Genomic DNA, 20,096 nt, shown 5'->3' on the forward strand with positions numbered 1-20,096 from the left:
GGATATAGAACTCACTGATACAGAGGGCCCATTGTACATGCTTCTGATTTAAGGTAGCCATTTTGCCAAGATTACTTTGTAGAAAGTAAGTATTACCTTCTCCCCATTTGAGATGATTTTGTATTCTGGGATCTGCATATTAACTCAAATTATTTGGGTTGTGCTAATAATTTGTTTAATGAAATAGGTAGTTCCTAAGGTTTATATCTGTTAGTAAGAGGTTTATTTGAGGGGAAGTGAAAGAACTTGAAAGATTCATGGTCTCTAAATTTTTTTTTTTTTTTTTTTTTTTTTTCAGAGATTTGGACCAGGCAAGCATGGAAGCAGTAGTTTCACTTCTAGCTGGTCTCCCTCTGCAGCCTGAAGAAGGAGATGGTGTGGAATTGATGGAAGCCAAATCACAGTTATTTCTTAAGTAAATTTCAGTCACCAAAAAACATAAAGCAAAAAGCAAATAAAGCCCCCCACCACACAAAAAAAGCAAAGAAATAATACCCATGACAGGACTAGGATAGGAAAATAACTGTGTTTTGTGATTTTTTTAAAGAAAGTAATATGATCAGTGAAATTTTGCTTATAATAAAACCCAGATTGCTTCATTAAGTCATTTACAAAAGTGACATTGTCTAAGCTGTTTGGACCACTAATTTTATATACTAACATTAAAAGTGACACATTTACCAGGTAATATTGCATCTATTTGATGCTAATGTTATGAAAGGTATACTAGGCTATATCAGGTAAAATCATGTCCAACATAGCACACTTCATAATAAGCCACCCTGGCTGATTATCGCGAGAGAGGAGAGAAACAGTTAACCCAGGGCCATTCACACCATGCACATATGATTGTTTTGGAATGTCTGGTTAGCTTTCTAGTTGATACGGCCTTCACTATGTAAAGGTCAGTCTTTTTATTTCTCAGATACTTCACATTATTTATGAACCTTTTGAATGACTGCAGTGAAGTTGAAGATGAAAGTGCGCAAACAGGTGGCAGGAAACGTGGCATGTCTCGGAGGCTGGCATCACTGAGGCACTGTACGGTCCTTGCAATGTCAAACTTACTCAATGCCAACGTAGACAGTGGTCTCATGCACTCCATAGGTGAGATCAAATGAAAGTTTCATATAGAAATACAAAACCTAGAGAACTGGCATGTAAGAGAAGCAAAAATTACTTCAGCAAGGCCATGTTAGTAAATTTGCATCTGTTTGTCCACATTAGGCTTAGGTTACCACAAGGATCTCCAGACAAGAGCTACATTTATGGAAGTTCTGACAAAAATCCTTCAACAAGGCACAGAATTTGACACACTTGCAGAAACAGTATTGGCTGATCGGTTTGAGAGATTGGTGGAACTGGTCACAATGATGGGTGATCAAGGAGAACTCCCTATAGCGATGGCTCTGGCCAATGTGGTTCCTTGTTCTCAGTGGGTAAGTGATTAGAGTAAGCGGGGAAGAAAAGTGCCTGGCACATAGCAAATCCTTCAGAATATATTTGTTCAATAAATGTTTGTTGAATGAATTGATAAAATTTCAGAGCCAGAAGAAAGATGTTTAGTTAGGTGATTTTTCAGCTGTAGGGAAGTGGTTGGCACCACTAGACCTGACTAGTGTTCTGTATCATTTCATCCTACTAAAAAATTCCATTTAAACGCATTAAAAATCACTGATCTACTCTGGTGTCTTCATATATTTGATAAGGTAATTAGGTTAAACCTAATTTTAGTTAGTTGTTGCAATGCTGGAATTGGAATCCACGATTTGTGCCTGTTTACTACCTCCAGTTTGCTATTCTTTTCCCCATAATGTCTCATACAGTTTTTTAAAAATTTAAGCACTATATTTGCATTTGATATTATGATATTGTTTATTTTAAAAACTGAAAGCGTCATATGGCTATGTCTCTCTCTTAATTTAATGAAAAATTTTCCTAAAATCACATCATTCTTAATACATGCTAAAACGTTGAGACGGGTTGTTGTTCCTTTCCAGTGTTAAAAGGCTATTTGCTTTTTAGTGTACCAAAACTGATTTCAGTTATAGTAAATTATGACTAATAAGGTAATCTGTCCTTGTTAACAAGCCTGTATTTGTTATACCTGTACTTAAAGTAAAATTCAAACTCCTTACCCTGTCCTACAAGGCTCTACCTGATCTGGGCCCTACCTCATCTCTAACATCATCTTATGCTATTTTCTTTCTTGTTCACCAGAGCCACACCAGCTACCTTTCTGTCCCTCCTTGTTAGACTTATTTCTGCTTTAGAGCACCCTTGCTGCTGCCACCACCTGAAATGCTTCTCTTCTGGTATTTTATTTTGGTGAGAACACCTGGCATGAGATCTACCCTCTAACAGATTTTTAAGTGTATAATACAGTATTGCTGTCTGTAGGCACAATGCTGCACAGCAGATCTCTAGAACTTACCTTGTATAACTGAAATTTTATACTCATTGATTAGCAACAGCCCCAAATTATTGAAACCTCCTTGAAGCCTAAATTTCAGAAATGTTCAAATGTTTTGAAAATGGATATTCTGAATTATCTTATTAGCATCTACCTATAATTAGCACTGAAAATAGTAATTTTTTAAATAAAGAATCAGTTAAGGGCCGGGTGTGGTCGCTCACGCCTGTAATCCCAGCACTTTGGGAGGCTGAGGCGGGAGGATCACAAGGTCGGGAGATCGAGACCATCCTGGCTAACACCGTGAAACCCTGTCTCTACTAAAAAAATACAAAAAAATCAGCTGGGCGTGGTGGCAGGTGCCAATAGTCCCAGCTACTTGGGAGGCTGAGGCAGGAGAATGGTGTGAACCCAGGAGGGTTGCAGTGAGCCAAGATCTCGCCACTGCACTCCAGCCTGGGCGACAGAGCGAGACTCTGTCTCAAAAAAAAAAAAAAAAAAAAAAAAAAGAATCATTTAGTTCAAGTAGCTTTAATTCGTTGAGTTTTATATTAAATGACTTTGAGAAGGAATTTTCTGTTAGGCCAGATCTCACCTACCACATTATTGTAATCCTTGGATCAGGCAAGAATTAGAGAGCTATGAGCCATGATCCTGGCCTTTGTTGTTACTGCTTGAGGATTGAGGCATCTTTTTATGGCTACCCCTATTATCTATAAATTTCTTCTTATCATGTGATTAAACAGTGATTTACCATTAGATCATTTTTTCTTGAGTGTACCCCAAACTGTTTTACTACAGAGAGTTATAAAGGATGTCATTTAGGTAATAGATAGAAATTTCAGCCCTCATCCTTGTGACCCTAGCTTTGTATGTAAATCTGGCTCATCTCTGGGTTCTGAATGCCCAATTCCTTTTCTTCCTGGTTTCTCAAAAATCCTATAGTCTTTCTGTTTTTGTTGTGTCTCTGCCTAGTATATATTCAGTATTCGCTGAGTTCCCCGACTGTATGAGAAGAGAGTAGAACTCTTCTGATCATCAATCTTATTTCTGCTCTGTGCAAATGCTTGTACAAATCAAACTAAATTCTTTGCTGTCATCTTCTGTTTCTGCTCTCTTTCATTTTGTGATGTAATTTGAGCTGAATCTTGGAGATTTTGTCTCCTAGTAAAGCGTAGGCCTCTCTTAATAGCTTTTACCGGTTAATCCTTGGAATTAACAGCTATCATAGACATTGTATATAGTCATCTATCATAAACAATGTACACTGTTAAATCTCAGGATAAATATTAATCAGTCATCATTTGCCTTAATTTAGCAAGTGGTTGTCAACTTTGGGTTTACATTTTTGCTACTCTTTAGCTTCCTACCTAAGAATAAAAATGGGATTGTTTGCACTAACCTGATTTTGTTTTGTTCTCAGGATGAACTAGCTCGAGTTCTGGTTACTCTGTTTGATTCTCGGCATTTACTCTACCAACTGCTCTGGAACATGTTTTCTAAAGAAGTAGAATTGGCAGACTCCATGCAGACTCTCTTCCGAGGCAACAGCTTGGCCAGTAAAATAATGACATTCTGTTTCAAGGTTTGTATCATTCATTTTGTGTGTATGTGTGTGCTGAGGTATGTCAAGTAATGATTATGTACAGAATGTGCAGGGCTGATTGTCTTCTTTTAAGGTAAAATATATGGAGCAGGTATAATAAACTCCTATTCGTGCATTTCTGTAGGTATATGGTGCTACCTATCTACAAAAACTCCTGGATCCTTTATTACGAATTGTGATCACATCCTCTGATTGGCAACATGTTAGCTTTGAAGTGGATCCTACCAGGTTTGTCATCTTTTCACATAGAACCGCTGTTTTTTGTTTTTTTTTTTTTGTTTGTTTGTTTTACTAACACTGCATGAAGCAAGGCACCTTCTCCCCTTGATCATTAAAATTAGTTTTTAATTATAAAAGTTATATACAAATACACGTTTCTTTAATGATATCTGTAATTTTTTTTTAAGGTATCCTTTTATTTGCCTTAGATCCAGGGACAAACTAGAGAAAGGTGTCTTTGACTTCCACCTCCAGAGACTGTTACTAGTTAAGTCTGTTCCCCTGTCCTTTTTCCATGCATTTACATATTCATATGCAGTCACTTGCATGCATACTCTTTTTCTAACTCACTTCTTCTATGATGAGGAGTGACTTAGGAGAAGGGAAAGAGGCTAATAGGTAATGCAGGCTGCAGTTTATTTATTTGTCATTTTTTTAAAAATTTGAGACAGAGTCTCACTCTGCCATTCAGGCTGGGGTGCACTGGCGCAGTCTCGGCTCACTGCAACCTCTGCCTCCCAGGTTCGTGTGATTCTCCTGCCTCAGCCTCCTGAGTAGCTGGGATTACAGGTGTGCGCCACCACGCCCAGGTAATTTTTTTTTTTTTTTTGTATTTTTAATAGAGATGGTGTTTCACCATCTTGGCCAGGCTGGTCTCAAACTCCTGACCTCAGGTGATCCGCCTGCCCTGGCCTCCAAAAATACTGGGATTACAGGTGTGAGCCACCATGCCCAGCCCAGAGTGCAGTTTAAACCACCATTTCTGTGAAGCTTTCTCTGCTTGTTACCAGGTACTACCCACGAACAAAGAAATATGCTTTGTTCTGTGCTGTGCACCACCATTGTAACAATTGTGACGATTTATGAGTTTCTCTCTCCTCTAGACTGTTTGCTCTTTTACATTTTTACATCTTTATATCCTTCCATGAATATTTAGCATGGTGTCTGCCTTATAGTGAACATTTTATAAATATTTGTTAAGTGAATGAATTTTAACGGAATATCTTATGCTTGCTTTTTCTAAGCCACATGTTAAGATGTTCTTGTCTGTCTTTCAGTTAGGACTTTATTTTTTACTTTTAAGTTCAGAGCTTCTTGATGATTGTTCTTCCTAAATAATCATTATTTAGCAACTGTGTATCAGTTGATATTTTTGGCTCTGCATTTGCTGAAGTATCAACTGTAATATCTATTCAGAACTCCAGCACTAAGCCAATTTTTGTTAAAATAGTTAAAAACTTAAAAGCAATTTTTATATTTTTATTTACTTCTTATTTTTTGAAATGGGGTCTCACTCTGTCACCCAGGCTGGAGTGCGGTGGCACCATCTCGGCTCACTGCAACCTTCCTGTGCAGGACTCAAGCGATTCTCCCATCTCAGCCTCCCAAGTAGCTGGGATTACAGGCATGCACCACCATGCAAAATACAAAATTTTTGTATTTTGGTAGAGACGAGGTTTTGCCTTGTTGCCCAGGCTGGTCTCAAACTCCTAGACTAAAGAGATCCACATGCTGTGGCCTCCCAAAGTGCTGGGATTACAGATGTGAGCCACCACGCCTGGCCAAAGCAATGTTTTGTAAAGCCTTGTATTTTCTTGCCATTAAGCACTTTCAGTTTTTTTCTTGACAACTTCTCATGTCTACTTTTTTTTTTTTTTTTTGCAATTTTCAAGTGTACATAATACATTATTACGGATTTTATGTTAATTTTGTGCCCTACAATTTTACTGAATCTTATTATTAAGCAATTTTACTTTCTAAAGGTTAAAGAATTACTTAGAGAGTGAACCAGCTGCTTCAAATAAGTTTACTATACAAAGTGCTGTGGTCCAGATAAGAGAACTAGATGGCAAACAATATACTCAGGTTGCTTAAAATCAAACTGAGGCCCACTCTGACATGTCAAGAGCTTGAAAGTCAACACTCCTGTGTTCACAACATGAAAAAAGCTAAAAAACTGAAAATCAGCAGCTCTTAGATCCATCAGAGAATTTAAGTCCACTCCAAAAACTGGAGAGACAGGTAAATGTATACAGAGAATCACAGTTTACCAGGAGAAGAAGCTGCTGGAGCCAGTAACTGGTAGGAAAGCTTAGATCATAATTGACGAGTTGCTGGAGGCTGAGCATGGAGTGCCTAGAGAGTTAAAACTCCTAGGGGCCTAGTCTTGCAGGGACCCCTGCACCTTTGTAAGTTTTACCTCCAGAAGCCTCATCAGGCTCTCATGGTGAAGATAGGAGAAAAATCCCTTTATGCTTTGGGCAGGGGAAGGGGAAAAGTAGCCATTTTTAAATATGACCACAGTGTTCTGTTATCCCTAGCAAAGGTTTGCCCTCAGGAGAAATTACTTTACCAGAGCTTTATTTGACTTAGAAGTTAGCCACCTCCAGCCCCCTCTAGCGTTTCTGTAAGAAGAGAGAAAAGGCTAAGAAACTCTTTGAGTCTGGCCTGGTGGCTCACATCTGTAATCCCAGCACTTTGGGAGGCTGAGGTGGGCAGATCACGAAGTCAGGAGATCGAGACCATACTGTCTAACATGGTGAAACCCTGTCTTTACTAAAAATACAAAAAATTAGCTGGGTGTGGTGGCACGTGCCTGTAGTCCCAGCTACCAGGAGGCTGAGGCAGGAGAATCGCTTGAACCCAGGAGGTGGAGGTTGCAGTGAGCTGAGATTTGCACCACTGCACTCCAGCCTGGGCGACAGAGCGAGACTCTGTCTAAAAAAAAAAAAAAAAGAAACTCTTTGAAGGTCACACTTTAAGGAATTTGGCCCAATAAAACAATGGAGATATAATCAGATTGTAGAGTACTTCCCTTCCCCAGTATCCCAGTTAACGGGGAAACCCAGGGACAACAAAAGAGACAGAAATAAGAGCACTAGAGGAAATGGGCGCCTACAGTTACAGCGAACATTAAACATAACCTAACTTCTAGGCAGATTAACAGAATGCCTCACACTAAAGTCCAATTTACCTCAGTTCCTATGACCCAATACATCTTGTCTGGCTTTCAACAAAACATTACAATGCATGCTAACAAAAAATGAAAAATTAGTCTGAGGAGACAAAGCAAGCATCAGAATCAGACTCAGATGTGGCAAGATGTATTGGAACTTTGAAATTGTCAAACTGAGAGTTTAAAATAACTAATATGCTAAGGGCTTTCATGGAAAATGGACAGTGTGTAAGAACAGATGGGTAATGTAAGCAGAGACATGGAAATTAAGAAAGAATCAAAAGAGAAGGCTAGAGAAAAAAGCTGTAACAGGGAGAATTCCTTTAGTGGGCTTATCAGTAGTCTGGGCACCACTGAAGAAAGAATTGGTGAATTTGTAGTTATATCAAGAGAAACTTCCCAAACTGAAATGCAAAGACAAACAGAAGAATAAATGAAAATGAAAATACATCAAAATTTGTGGGGTTTAATAAAAGCAGTTGCTTAGCAGTGTTAAATGTATGTTAGAAAAGAAAATCTAAAATGAATTATCTGAGCTCTCACCTTAGAAAACTAGACAAAGAGCAATACCTAAAGCAAGATGGGGGGAGGAATCAGAAATCAATGAAATTAAAAATAGGAAAAAAATAATGAAACGCAAAGCTAGATCTTTTTATTTTTTAATTTTTATTTTTTTGTGGGTACATAGTAGGTGTTTATATTTATGGGGTACATGAAATATTTTGATACAGACATGGAATGTGTAGTAATCACTTCAGGGTAAATGGGGTGTCCATCACCTCAAGCATTGATCCTTTCTTTTTTCTTTTTTGAGACAGAGTTTCACTCTTGTCGCCCAGGCTGGAATGCAGTGGTGCTATCTTGGCTCACTGCAACCTCCGCCTCCCATGTTCAAGCAATTCTCCTTGCCTCAGCCTCCCGAGTAGCTGGGATTACAGGTGCCCACCACCATGCCTGGCTAATTTTTGTATTTTTAGTAGAGACAGGGTTTCACAATATTGGCCAGGCTAGTCTTGACCTCCTGACTTCAGGCGAGCCGCCTGTCTTGGCCTCCCAAAGTGCTGTGATTACAGGCGTCAGCCACCGTGCCCGGCCTATCGTTTCTTTATGTTACATACAATCCAATTATACTCTTTTAGTGATTTTTAAATGTACAATAAGTTCTTGTTGACTGTAGTCACCTTGTGCTATCAGATAACCAGATCTCATTTATATTCTTTTGTACACATTAACCATCCCCGGTCTCCCCTTCCCCACCCCCCACTACACTTCCCAGCCTCTGGGTAACTATCATTCTACTCTCTATCTCCATGAGTTCAATTGTTTTAATTTTTTTAGCTTCCACAAATAAGAGAGCGCACGATGTTGTATTTCTTTGCCTGGCTTATTTCACTTAACATCATAACCTTCAGTTCCATCCGTGTTGTTGCAAATGACAGGAATCTCATGTTTTGTGTCTGAATAGTACTCCGTTGTGTATATGTACCACAGTTTCTTTATCCATTCTTCTGTGGACAGACACTTAGGTTGCTTCCAAATGTAGGCTATTGTGAATAGTGCTGCAACAAACATGGGAGTGCCGATATGTCTTCAATATACTGATTTCCTTTTGTTTCAGTATATACCTAGTAGTGAGATTTCTGGATCATATAGTAGTTTTATTTTTAGTTTTTTGAGGAACCTCCAAATGGTCCTCCATAGTATTATACTAATTTACATTCCTGCCAATAGTGTATGAGGGTTCCCTTTTCTCACTTTTCTCCTTGTCACCATTTGTTATTGCCCGTCTTTTGGATAAAAGCAACTTTAGGGTGATGTGATATCTCATTGTAGTTTTGATTTGCATTTCTCTGATAATCAGTGATGTTGAGCACCTTTTCATGTACCTGTTTGCCATGTGTATTTTGTTTGTGTGTTTGTTTGTTTTGAGACACAGTCTTGCTCTGTCACACAGGTTGGAGTGTAGTGGCGTGATCTTGGCTCACTGCAACCTCTGCCTCCTGGGTTCAAGTGATTCTCCTGCCACAGCCTCCTGAGTAGCTGGGATTACAGGTGCCTGCCACGATGCCCAGCTGATTTTTGTATTTTTAGTAGAGACAGGGTTTCACCACGTTGGTCAGGCTGGTCCCAAACTCCTGACCTCAAGCAATCCACCCGCCTCGGTCTCCCAAAGTGCTGAGATTACAGGCATGAGCTACCATGCCCAGCCATGGAATATCTTTTTTCTTTGCTTTATTTTCAGTCTGTGTTTTTCCTTATAGATGATGTCTGTTTCTTGTAGGCAACAGATTGTTGGGTCATGGGTTATTTTTGTTTGTTTTTAATCCATTCAATCACTCTTACGTCTTTTGATTGGAGAATTTAGTCCATTTACATTCAGTGTTATTATTGACGAGGACTTACTCCTGCTATTTTGTTATTTGTTTTCTGGTGGTTTTGTGGTCTTCTCTTCCTCCTTTTCTTCCTTCCTGCCTTCCCTTTAGTAAAAGTGATTTTCACAGATGATATGTGTTAATTTCTTGCTTTTTATTTTTTGTGCATCTGTTGTATGTTTTTGATTTGAGGTTACCATGAGGCTTGCCAATAATATTTTATGAGCCATTCTTTTAAGCTGATGACAAGTTAACACTGATGGCATAAAGCAGCAAACAAAGAAGCAAAAAGAAAACTAATAAAAACTCTACACTTTAACTTTATCCCCCTACTTTTTAACTTTTTGTTGTTTTTATGTATACCTTATTATACTGTCTGTATCTTGAAAAGCTGTAGTTATTTGTAAAAGGTTCATCTTTTAGTCTTCTCAAGATAGTAGTTCATACCACAATTACAGTGTTATAATATTTTGTGTATTTACTGTTACCAGTGAATTTTGTACCTTCAGATTTCTTATTGCTTGTTAATGTCCTTTTCCTTTTGATTGAAGAACTCCCTTTAGCATTTCTTCTAGGACAGGTCTGGCATTGATAAAATCCCTCAGCTTTTGTTTGTCTAGGAAAGTCTTTATTTCTCCATATATGAAGGATATTTTCACTGGATACTGTTCTAAGGTAAAAGTTTTTTTTTTTTCTTTATCACTTGAAATATGTCATGCCACTCTCTCCTGGCCTCTAAGGTTTCCACTGAGAAGTCTGGGGCCAGACATATTGGAGCTCCATTGTATGTTATTTGTTTCTTTCCTCTTGCTGCTTTTAGGATCCTTTCTTTATCCTTGACCTTTGGGAGTCTGATTATTAAATACCTTGAGTTAATCTTCTTTGGTTTAAATCTGTTTGGTGTTCTGTAACCTTCCTGGACTTGAATATTGATAAATATCTTTCCCTAGGTTTCATAAGTTCTCTTTTTTTTTTTTTTTTTTTTTTTTTTTGAGATGGAGGTTCACTCTTGTCGCCCAGGCTGCAGTGCAATGGTGCAACCTCTGCTCACTGCACCCTCCGCCTCTACCTCCTCTTTAAGGCCAGTAACTCTTAAATTTGCTCTTTTGAGGCTGTTTTCTAGATCTTGTAAGCATGCTTCATTCTTTATTCTTGTCTCCTCTGTGTATTTTCATATAGGCTGCCTTCAAGCTTGCTAATTCTTCTGCTTCATCAATTTTGCTTTTAAGAGACTCTTGATGCATATTTCAGTATGTCAGCTGCATTTTTCGTCTCCAGAATTTCTCTCTGGTTCTTTGTAATTGTTTCAATCTCTTCGTTAAATTTATCTGATAGGATTCCGAATTCCTTCTCCACATTATCATGGATTTCCTTGAGCTTCCTCAAAACAGCTATTTTGACTCCTCGGTCTGAGAGGTCACATATCGCTGTCTCTCCAGGATTGATCACTGGTGCCTTCTTTAATTCCTTCGGTGGGTCATGTTTTTCTGGATGGTCTTGATGCTTATGGATGTTCATTAGTGCCTGGGCATTGAAGAGTTAGGTATTTTTGTAGTCTTTGTAGTCTGGGCTTGTTTGTACCCACCCTTCTGGGGAAGGCTTTCCAAGTATTTGAAGGCACTTGGGTGTTGTTATCTTAAGTCTTTGGTCACTGCAGCTATATCTGCTTTAGGGGACACTCCAAGCCCAATAACGCTGTGGCTCTTGTACACTCATAGCGGTACCACCTTGGTGGTCTTGCATAAGATCCTGGAGAATTCCCTGGGTTATCAAACAGACTCTTGTTCTCTTCTTCTCTTCCCTTACTTTCCTCTAAACAAACAGAGTCAGTCTCTCTCTCTGTCTGTGTGTGTGTGTGTGTGTGTGTGTGTGTTGAGCTGCCTGGAGCTGGGGGAGGGGCGACACAAGCAGCCCTGTGGACACCAGCACTGGGAGTGCACTGGGTCTTGCCCAAGGCCTGCAGTACTGCTGCCTGACTACCACCTATGTTCACTCAAGGCCCAAAGGCTCTACAGTCAGCAGGTAGCAAACCCAGCCAGGCTTGCGTCCTTTCGTTCAGGCAGTGAGTTCTCCGTGGGTCCAGAGATGCCATTCAGGAGCCAGAGCCTAGAGTTGGGTACATCAGAGATCTACCTAGTGCTCTATTCTGCTGCGGCTAAGCATTAAGCTGGCACCCAAGCTGTAAGACAAAGTCCTTCCCGCTCTTCCGTCCTCTTTTCTCAAGCAGAGGAGTCTTTTCCCATGGCCGCCATCGCCCCAGGCCCATGGTGAGTGCTGCCTGGCTACCACTGATGTTCACTCAAGGCCCAAGGGCTCTTCATTCAGCTCATGGTGAATGCTGCCAGTTCTGAGTCTCTCCCTTAAGGCCTTGGGGCTCCCCTCTAACCCAGGGCAGGTCCAGGAAAGTTTTCCAGGAGCCAAGGCCTGGAATCTGGGACCCCAGGAGCCTACTTAGTGCCCTACCCCACTGTGTCAAGCTGGTACCCAAGTTGCAACACAGAGTCCCCTTTATTCTTACCTCTTCTTTCCTCAAGCAGAAGGGGTCTCTCTCCATAGCCACCACAGTTGGTAATGTGCTGGGTCACCCCTGAAGCCAGCATGTCTCCAAGTCTCACCCAAGGCCCACAGCAAGTACTGCCTGGCTATCCCTCCTGGTTGTTCAGGGGCCAAGGGCTCTTTAGTCAGCAGGTGATGAGTTCTGCCAAGACTGGGTCCTTCCTTTTAAGACAGCAGATTTCCTTCTGGCCCAGGGTTTGTTTAGGAGTGTTGTCTGTGAGGTAGGGCCTGAAATGGGGGCCTCAGGACTCTGCCTGGTGCCCTCTCCTACTGTGGCTAAGCTGGTAGTTACAAGACAAGGTCCTCTTTACTCTCTCCACTCTTGTATTTGAACAGAGGGAAGGCATCTCTGTTGGAGCTACAAGCTGAGCTGAGCTGCCTGGGTTTGGGAGAGGGGTGATGTAAGCATTCCCTTGGTTGCCCTGGCTGTCTCACTAGGTCCACCCCAAGTCCACTGGCTCTGAGCCCAGCACAGCACCAGGACTTACCCAGAAACTGCAGTCCTTGTGGGCCTAGACTGCCTTTCAAGTTTATTTAGGACCTCAGGGCACTTTAGCTCTTGGTGGTGGGGCTTGCTGGAACTCAGGTTTCAACAGCTGGGATGGGTGATTTACCTCTGGCTAGGTCTGTTCTAAGTTCTCCATCCTTGAGCACCAGCTGAGCTCTGCCCTGTGTTGCTTTCTGCTATGACAGGGCAGCATTTAGTCCTAATGCAAAGTCCCATAATCACTGTGCTGTCCGTCCCCCAAATGCAGATTTTCTTTGCACACCACGGGGCCACTGCCAGGAGGTGAAGGAAGGGTGGTATAGGTAAGTCAAGACAGTTTTTCCTACCCGCTTCAGTGCCTCTTCCTTAATATGATGTTAAGACCAGGTATTGTGATCACTTACCTGATTTTCAGTTCTTATGAAGGTGCTTTTTTGTATGGATGGTTGTTCAAGTTGGTGTTCCAATAAGGGGGACGATCCCTGGAGGCCTCCATTCAGCCATCTTGCTCCACCTCCAGTTCTCAAGCTAGTTCTTTGAAAATCAACTTGGGAAAAGTTTTATACACAGGAACACTTGAATAATTGAACACAAATGTTCATTGTAGTTCAGAATTAGTAGAATATTCAACAGGTTACCATTGGCATGTGGGAAGCAAGAGAGCACTGTGGCTAGAAGGTATTGTTTTAGAGGGAAACCTGAAATGGACTGCAGTGTACCTGCTGCTATGCTGACTCAAAAAAAAAATTTCACAAAGTAGGCAATTGTCAGGGTTTCTAGCAGTCTCTTTGAGCCTTGTTAAAGAAATTGTTAATCTCATTCATACCTACCAACTCCTAGACCTCCATATCTTAAGATTTGGATTACTGTTGTAGCTTAACTGTTCTCCCTGCATATAATCCCCATATTTAGGCTGTCTCTTCAATTAGCCACATATTGCAAGTTCATTTTCCTCCTCTGGCTTCCTAACAACCATCAGCCATTCTCCAATAGATACCAACCAGGTGTCCTTGTGATTCAGTTCAACCGTGACACTGTTTACCTGGAGAGAGCATCAGATTTCCCATAGGATAAGGGCTGAGTAAGATTGCTACCACTTCAGATGCCAATTACAAGCCCCAGGTTGTTACCTGTGCTTCTCACAACTTCACCTTGAGTTGGATTAATTTGCTAGAAGGACTCACAGAACTCAGGGGCATACTTTACTTTTGTTTGCCTACTTACTATAAAGGATATCAGAAAGGATACAGATGAACAGCCAGATGGAAAAGATGCACATAGGGCAAGGCATGTGGGAAGGGGCTTGCAGCTTCCATGCTGTCTCCAGGTGCACTACCCTCCAGGCACCTCTATGTGTTCGGCAACCTGGAAGCTCTTCAAACTCTGTTCGTTGGGTTTTTATGGTGACCTCATTATATAGGCATGATTGATTAAATCATGGGTCATTGGTGATAAACTCACCTTCAGCCTCTCTCCTCTCCTTGGAGGTTGGGGAGTGGGGCTGAAAGTCTCAACCCTCTAATCGAAACTTGGTCTTTCTGGTGACTAGCCCCGTCTTGAAGCTCCCTAGGACCTCCCAGCCACCAGTCATCTCATTATCATATAAAAGACACTCAGCACTTCCAGAGATTCCAAGGGTTTTAAGAGCAATGTATCAGGAATCAGGAGCAGAGACCAAATATATATTTATCACAATACCCTTGAATTATTGTATTGAGTACTTAGTGTGGAATACCTGGTCTATATGTCTTTCTCCTTTTTGAAAAGGTCAAAAGGCAATTGTTGAATCCTCAGCACCTGATACTAAGATGGCAGATAGTAGATGTGCACTAAATATTTATTGGATTGATTACCTGCCGCACCTACTTTCTCTTTCTGAAATACCCTTACTTCTTTTGTCTATGCAAATTCTGTGCCTCCTTTAGAACTCACCTGTTCAATGAAGTATTTCTTGCTTTGCAGTCCATGCTAATTTCTGAACTCTTACTGTATTCATATGCTGTGCCACACAGCAAACTCTAAGGAATCTACAGCAATGACGTAAGTGTCCAAAGCATTTCTGTAATACGTTAATTAATATAGAAACAAAATTACTAATTAACCTGTTAAAAACAAATATTTACTCAGTACTTGCTGTGGTAAGGCACTGTGCTAGTCTTTAAGGGGACATAGGTAAATACTTCCTTCAAGGAGCTTACAGTTTAGTAAGAGGGATAAAACACACAACAGATAAGTGGTGAGTTTCATAAGGGGTGTATTTTGAGAGTTCAGATTAGGCTAGTTAGAGAGTAAAGGTTTGTGGATTTGATTACTATTGGGTAAAATTTAAACTACATAAAGTAGGCATTATTAGTCCTGTATTATTGATGAGAAAAAATGACACCCAGAGAATTTAAGGATTGTGACCAACTCATAATGATTGATAACTGATAGAGCTGAAATTTAAACCTAGTAAGTCTGCCTGCGGAATCTCTTCCTTTAATCACAACATCAGAGTTTAGAGGTGGTACTGATAAGAGTTAGCAACACTGGGCCGGGCACGGTGGCTCATGACCGTAATCCCAGCACTTTGGGAGGCTGAGGTGGGCAGATCATAAGGTCAAGAGATCTAGACCATGCCGGCCAACATGGTGAAACCTTGTCTCTACTAAAAATACAAAAATTACCTGGGCGTGGTGGTGGTGCGCCTGTAGTCCCATCTACTTGGGAGGCTGAGGCAGGAGAATTGCTTGAACCTGGAGGCGGAGGTTGCAGTGAGCCGAGATTGTGCCACTGCACTCCAGCCCGGCAACAGAGCAAGACTCCATCTCAAAAAAAAAAAAAAAAAAGCAATACTGATTGGATATGGGGAATAATGAAGTAGAGCAGGAAAAAGTGACATCAGAGATGGCCTGAATGATGTGATTAAGAAAGTGATAGTGCTATTGATAACATAGAGCACATGATAAGACATAAGAGTACGAGGAAAAATCAGTTAATTTGGGGCATACTGATTTTTAGATACCAGTGGGGAGGGGACATCTAGCAGTTAGAAATGTCAGACTGGATGTGAAATGCAGTTCAAGATAGGGGAAACCTGAATGGCCACAAAATATCTAAAAGCATGTCTAACCTTAGTAGGAACTGTGGAAATAGAAGTTAAAAACATGAGCTACCTCATGTTTTACTCAACTGCTAGATTGGAGGGGAATAAGAATTCTTATACAGTACTAGTTTTAGAGCTATTTGGCAATATCTAGTAAAGTTATATCTGCATATACTCAATAACTCAGAAATTTCATTTTTAGGTAGCTGCCTTAGAGAATCTCTTATGTGCAAGAATGTTCATTGCAATGGTGTTTGTAAAGGTGAAAAATGTTTAATGTTCATTATAATTAGAGAATAGATAAATCATGGTATACAATAGACTATTATGCAGTAAAGTGAACTATATCTTCATCTATCAACATGGATAAATCTCAGAAACATAATGTAGAGTGAAAGATGAAAGTTGCCTTTTGTTACTATTGATGAAAAAAGTAAAGACCTACATCATTCAGCCGGGCGTGGTGGCTTATGCCTGTAATCCCAGCACTTTAGGAGGCCGAGGCAGGTGGGTCACTTGAAGTCGGGAGTTTGAGACCAGCCTGACCAACATGGTGAAACCCTGTCTCTACTAAAAATATAAAATTAGCCGGGCGTGGTGGCCCATGCCTGTAATCCTAACTACTTGGGAGGCTGAGGCAGGAGAATCACTTGAACCCGGGAGGCGGAGGTTGCAGTGAACTGAGATTGCGCCATCACACTCCAGCCTGGGCAACGAGAGTGAAACTCCATCCCCCGCCCCCACCCCCCACCAAAAAAAAAAAACACCTGCATCATTCATATGTGTGTGTTAATTTTTTCATATGGGCATATACACATAGAGGATTGTGAATTGGAAAAATACATGATATTCTTGTTTTATCTGTCCCCTCTCTCCCCCTTTTGTTGCTTGGGTATTTTAAAGCATATCTCAGAGATCATGTTTCTAACATATACAGACTTAAACACACATACACGTGCATGTGCAGCCTGAGTATTTCCACACAAATTAAAGTTAATAATCCTGAATAATATATCTAAGACTAGTTTTCTGTTAAATTTTTTTCAGTTATCTCAAAGTTGTCTTTTTTTTTATTTTTATTTTTGAGATTCAGTCTTGCCCTTTCATCCAAGCTGGAGTGCAGTGGTGCAGTCTTGGCTCACTGCAGCCTCCACCTCCCAGGTTCAAGTGATTCTCCTGCCTCAGCCTCCTGAGTAGCTGGGATTACAGGCACCTGACTAATTTTTGTATTTTTAGTAGAGATGGGGTTTCACCATGTTGGCCAGGCTGGTCTTGAACTCCTGACCTCAAATGATCTGTCAGCCTTGGCCTCCCAAAGTACTGGGATTGCAGGCGTAAGCCATCCAGCCCTGTCAAAGTTGTCTTTTTTTTTTTTATAGTTGGTTGTTTAAAGATTCCAATGAAGTCTACACGTTGCACTTGGCTTAATGTCTGTATAAGAGTCTCTTTTAAGGAGTGATTTTTGTTATTTGTTTTAAACAAAAGTGTTAGGATTTTATTTTTATTTTTTTGTAGGTTAGAACCATCAGAGAGCCTTGAGGAAAACCAGCGGAACCTCCTTCAGATGACTGAAAAGTTCTTCCATGCCATCATCAGTTCCTCCTCAGAATTCCCCCCTCAACTTCGAAGTGTGTGCCACTGTTTATACCAGGTATGCTTACAGTTAGAGATTACCATTATTAATCTAAAGTTAAATTATGAAGAATGCTTTATCAAAGAAGGATCTAGCTGCTGATGGTGTGTGGTTAACTATAATACTGAGTCAGTTTGGATGAATAATACATTGAGAATTGTTGGAATTGTCTTTGAAAAAAACTTAAATATTACTTAGGCAACAGTTTGAAGTAAGAGAATACTTTAAAATACTAAATTTTACTTGCATTGGGAGCAAGTTTAAAATGCAGTGAATCCATTGGGTATGATGGATGTGGCTGAAATGAACATATTATGGATTTTTGTTGTTGTCATCTATTAACCTAAATTATTTACAGGGTGTTTCACAGTTGAGGCGGGTCTCCTCCTTGCTTTTTGCATTGTGAATTGCTTGATCATCTGTGATTTTGGTTTCTTCATTAATGTATAATTAGTTTGTGTCAGGTTTTCCCAGGATAGACTGATTGTTCTGTTTACTTTATGTAGCATATTTCTTAAAAGAGATACTGCATCATCATTCAGACCAAATTATTAGACCTTCTAACACTAGCACTGCAAGTAATGCGTCTGAACTCAGAAAATAGCCATAGTCATGGCCTTCTTTTTTAGGGAATTCGGTCTATGTTCTTTTATGTCTTCTACTGTGTTTTTGAATTGCACATTGCAGTTTTAGGAATTATTTATTCCAAGGGAGGTCCTGCAAATGCATATTAGCCTTTTGGAAACTGTGATTCTGGAAGAAACATTAGTGGGTCTGGAATTTGGGATAGGGGTGGATATAAGGGAAATACACAGTTATCAAAACCCATGTCTTTGTGTCTCTCTCTTTGCAGAGTCATCGCAGCCATTTGCTTTTTTAGCACACGGCTTCAGTTGCTTAGAGACGTTAACAGCATCATTGAAATCACCATTTTAAAAGCTGTTTGAGGCTGCTCTATGTGAATTTTTTCACCATTGCTATTTTTAAAGATGTATCTGTTCTATCTGTAAAAAAGCTTTTCACGGTATACATAGATGATAAAACATACTTAACCTTGTCTCTCTTAATTTATCATGACTTTTCTGCCTTTACAAAAAGGCTCAAGGAAACTTAGGAAAATCCTGTATAGTTTTTTCAACTAGTTAAGTCTGAGTCTAAAGGGTAGTTTAGTTATAATATGAAACTTAATACAGTGAATATCTTCTCAAGTTTGGGCTGTATTCAGGTTTCTCTTTAAATTTTATTTAGTAATTGTTCTATTGATGAAACTAGGCAGACAGGAAATAGCACATATTAAAAATAGTCTGGGTCAGCTTCTTGGTTGGCCTAGTAGTAACTGGTTTCAGAGAGCAAGTGGGTTTCTAAAATGACAGAGGCTTTGACTTTAGCTGGTTAAAAGTGAATGGGGACTGACTACATGATTACATGGTCTAGGAGATTGTAGTAGAATTTCTTCATGTGGTTGTCATCCTAAAAGAAAAATCTTTTTGTATCATGAGCAAAGTTGGAGACCGTTTTGAGACCATGATTCTAATAATGTAAAAGGAACAGGTCTTAGCACTTATTTAGTACTTAGGAAATATTTAATGAAGAAATAAATTTCCCATCCCTCCCACCTAAGTAAACAAGATTCTTGCCAGCTTTCACAGCTAAGAAAGGAGGAAAATAGTGAAAATAGATTTTTAAACACTATATGTGGTGATTATTAAACAGTATGTTATGCTTTTTAGAGCACTTCACAGTAAAATATCCTATATTATTTTAATAACAAACCTGGTTTATTATGTTAAAATTTCACATAAAATTATTATCTTTAAAAACATGAATTAAAGGTGGTATCAGTGCATTGTTTAAGTATTGGGTAAAAGCATTGTTGAAGAGCAGAGACAGCATGCTGTGTTGTTATTAAATAAGGCTTTATTTTTTAATTAGTAACTGGTAACAGGGAATGTTACATTTACTGATTAGAAAGAAAGATAGGAAAAAAGCTTTGGTCTCAAGATAGTATTTTATTGAGTCTGCTTCCCAAACCTAGTTTATTTCTTTTGGTTTGCTCTTTTGTTTTTATTCATCTTCCCTCTTCTGGCTTTTTCTTGCCCCTTTGCCTTTGGCAGTAACAGAAAGGTACCTTCCTGCTCTTCTGTGTTCTGCCTGGAGGGATAGTAGTCCCTTTGGGACCTACTGGGGAAATGTTGAAAGGGAAGTGAGTATATTGCTAGCTAATAAACTTCCCTGGACTTTAGCTCCTTTTTTGAGTTCATATCTTGGCCTTTAAGCCTTTTCAAATCATGTGTTAACCAGCTCTATTACTTTATATACCTTCCTTCCTTAGTTGACTGGATTAAGGTTATTTAAGAATAGCCAACTGTGAACATGTGTCAGATTTATAATTAAATCATTTTCTCATGTGTTGTTTTCACTTCTCCTGATGGTTTTAGGATAAAGATAAAATGATTCCCAAAGTGGATATTCTCGTATGGTGAGAGAATTCTAAGAACTAATTTATGATTCTAAATAAATCTCACCCTTTTTCAGTAAATCTGCTTCTCCAAACTGAAGTAGTTTACACACAGTTTTAAGGCTATAAATGATAGTTATATACCACTGTTACTAATACATTTGTATATAGTCTAAAGTTTGAAACAAAGCTCTGTGAGCTAAGGGGCTGTGTCTTGTTGTTTTACTGCTATTTCCCAATGCCTAGAATGGTATTTGACCTGTAGGTACACAGTAACTCTTTGGATGGATGAATGGGTGGGTGGATGAATG

General features: G+C 39.7%; 1 protein-coding gene across 2 annotated transcripts in view; it reads left to right on the forward strand.

Annotated features, from left to right (window-relative positions):
* NF1 (neurofibromin 1) overlaps positions 1 to 20,096 on the forward strand; it is a 282,699-nt gene that overhangs the window by 136,798 nt on the left and 125,805 nt on the right. For both annotated transcript variants that reach the window (NM_001042492.3, NM_000267.4), the window contains exons 25-30: positions 299 to 415; positions 926 to 1,107; positions 1,228 to 1,439; positions 3,837 to 3,998; positions 4,144 to 4,247; positions 17,210 to 17,345. In NM_001042492.3, the coding sequence (NP_001035957.1) occupies positions 299 to 415; positions 926 to 1,107; positions 1,228 to 1,439; positions 3,837 to 3,998; positions 4,144 to 4,247; positions 17,210 to 17,345 (913 nt within the window). The remainder of the gene's footprint in view (positions 1 to 298; positions 416 to 925; positions 1,108 to 1,227; positions 1,440 to 3,836; positions 3,999 to 4,143; positions 4,248 to 17,209; positions 17,346 to 20,096) is intronic.

The sequence above is a fragment of the Homo sapiens genome, chromosome 17 (assembly GCF_000001405.40).
Source record: "Homo sapiens chromosome 17, GRCh38.p14 Primary Assembly".
NCBI lineage: Eukaryota > Metazoa > Chordata > Mammalia > Primates > Hominidae > Homo > Homo sapiens.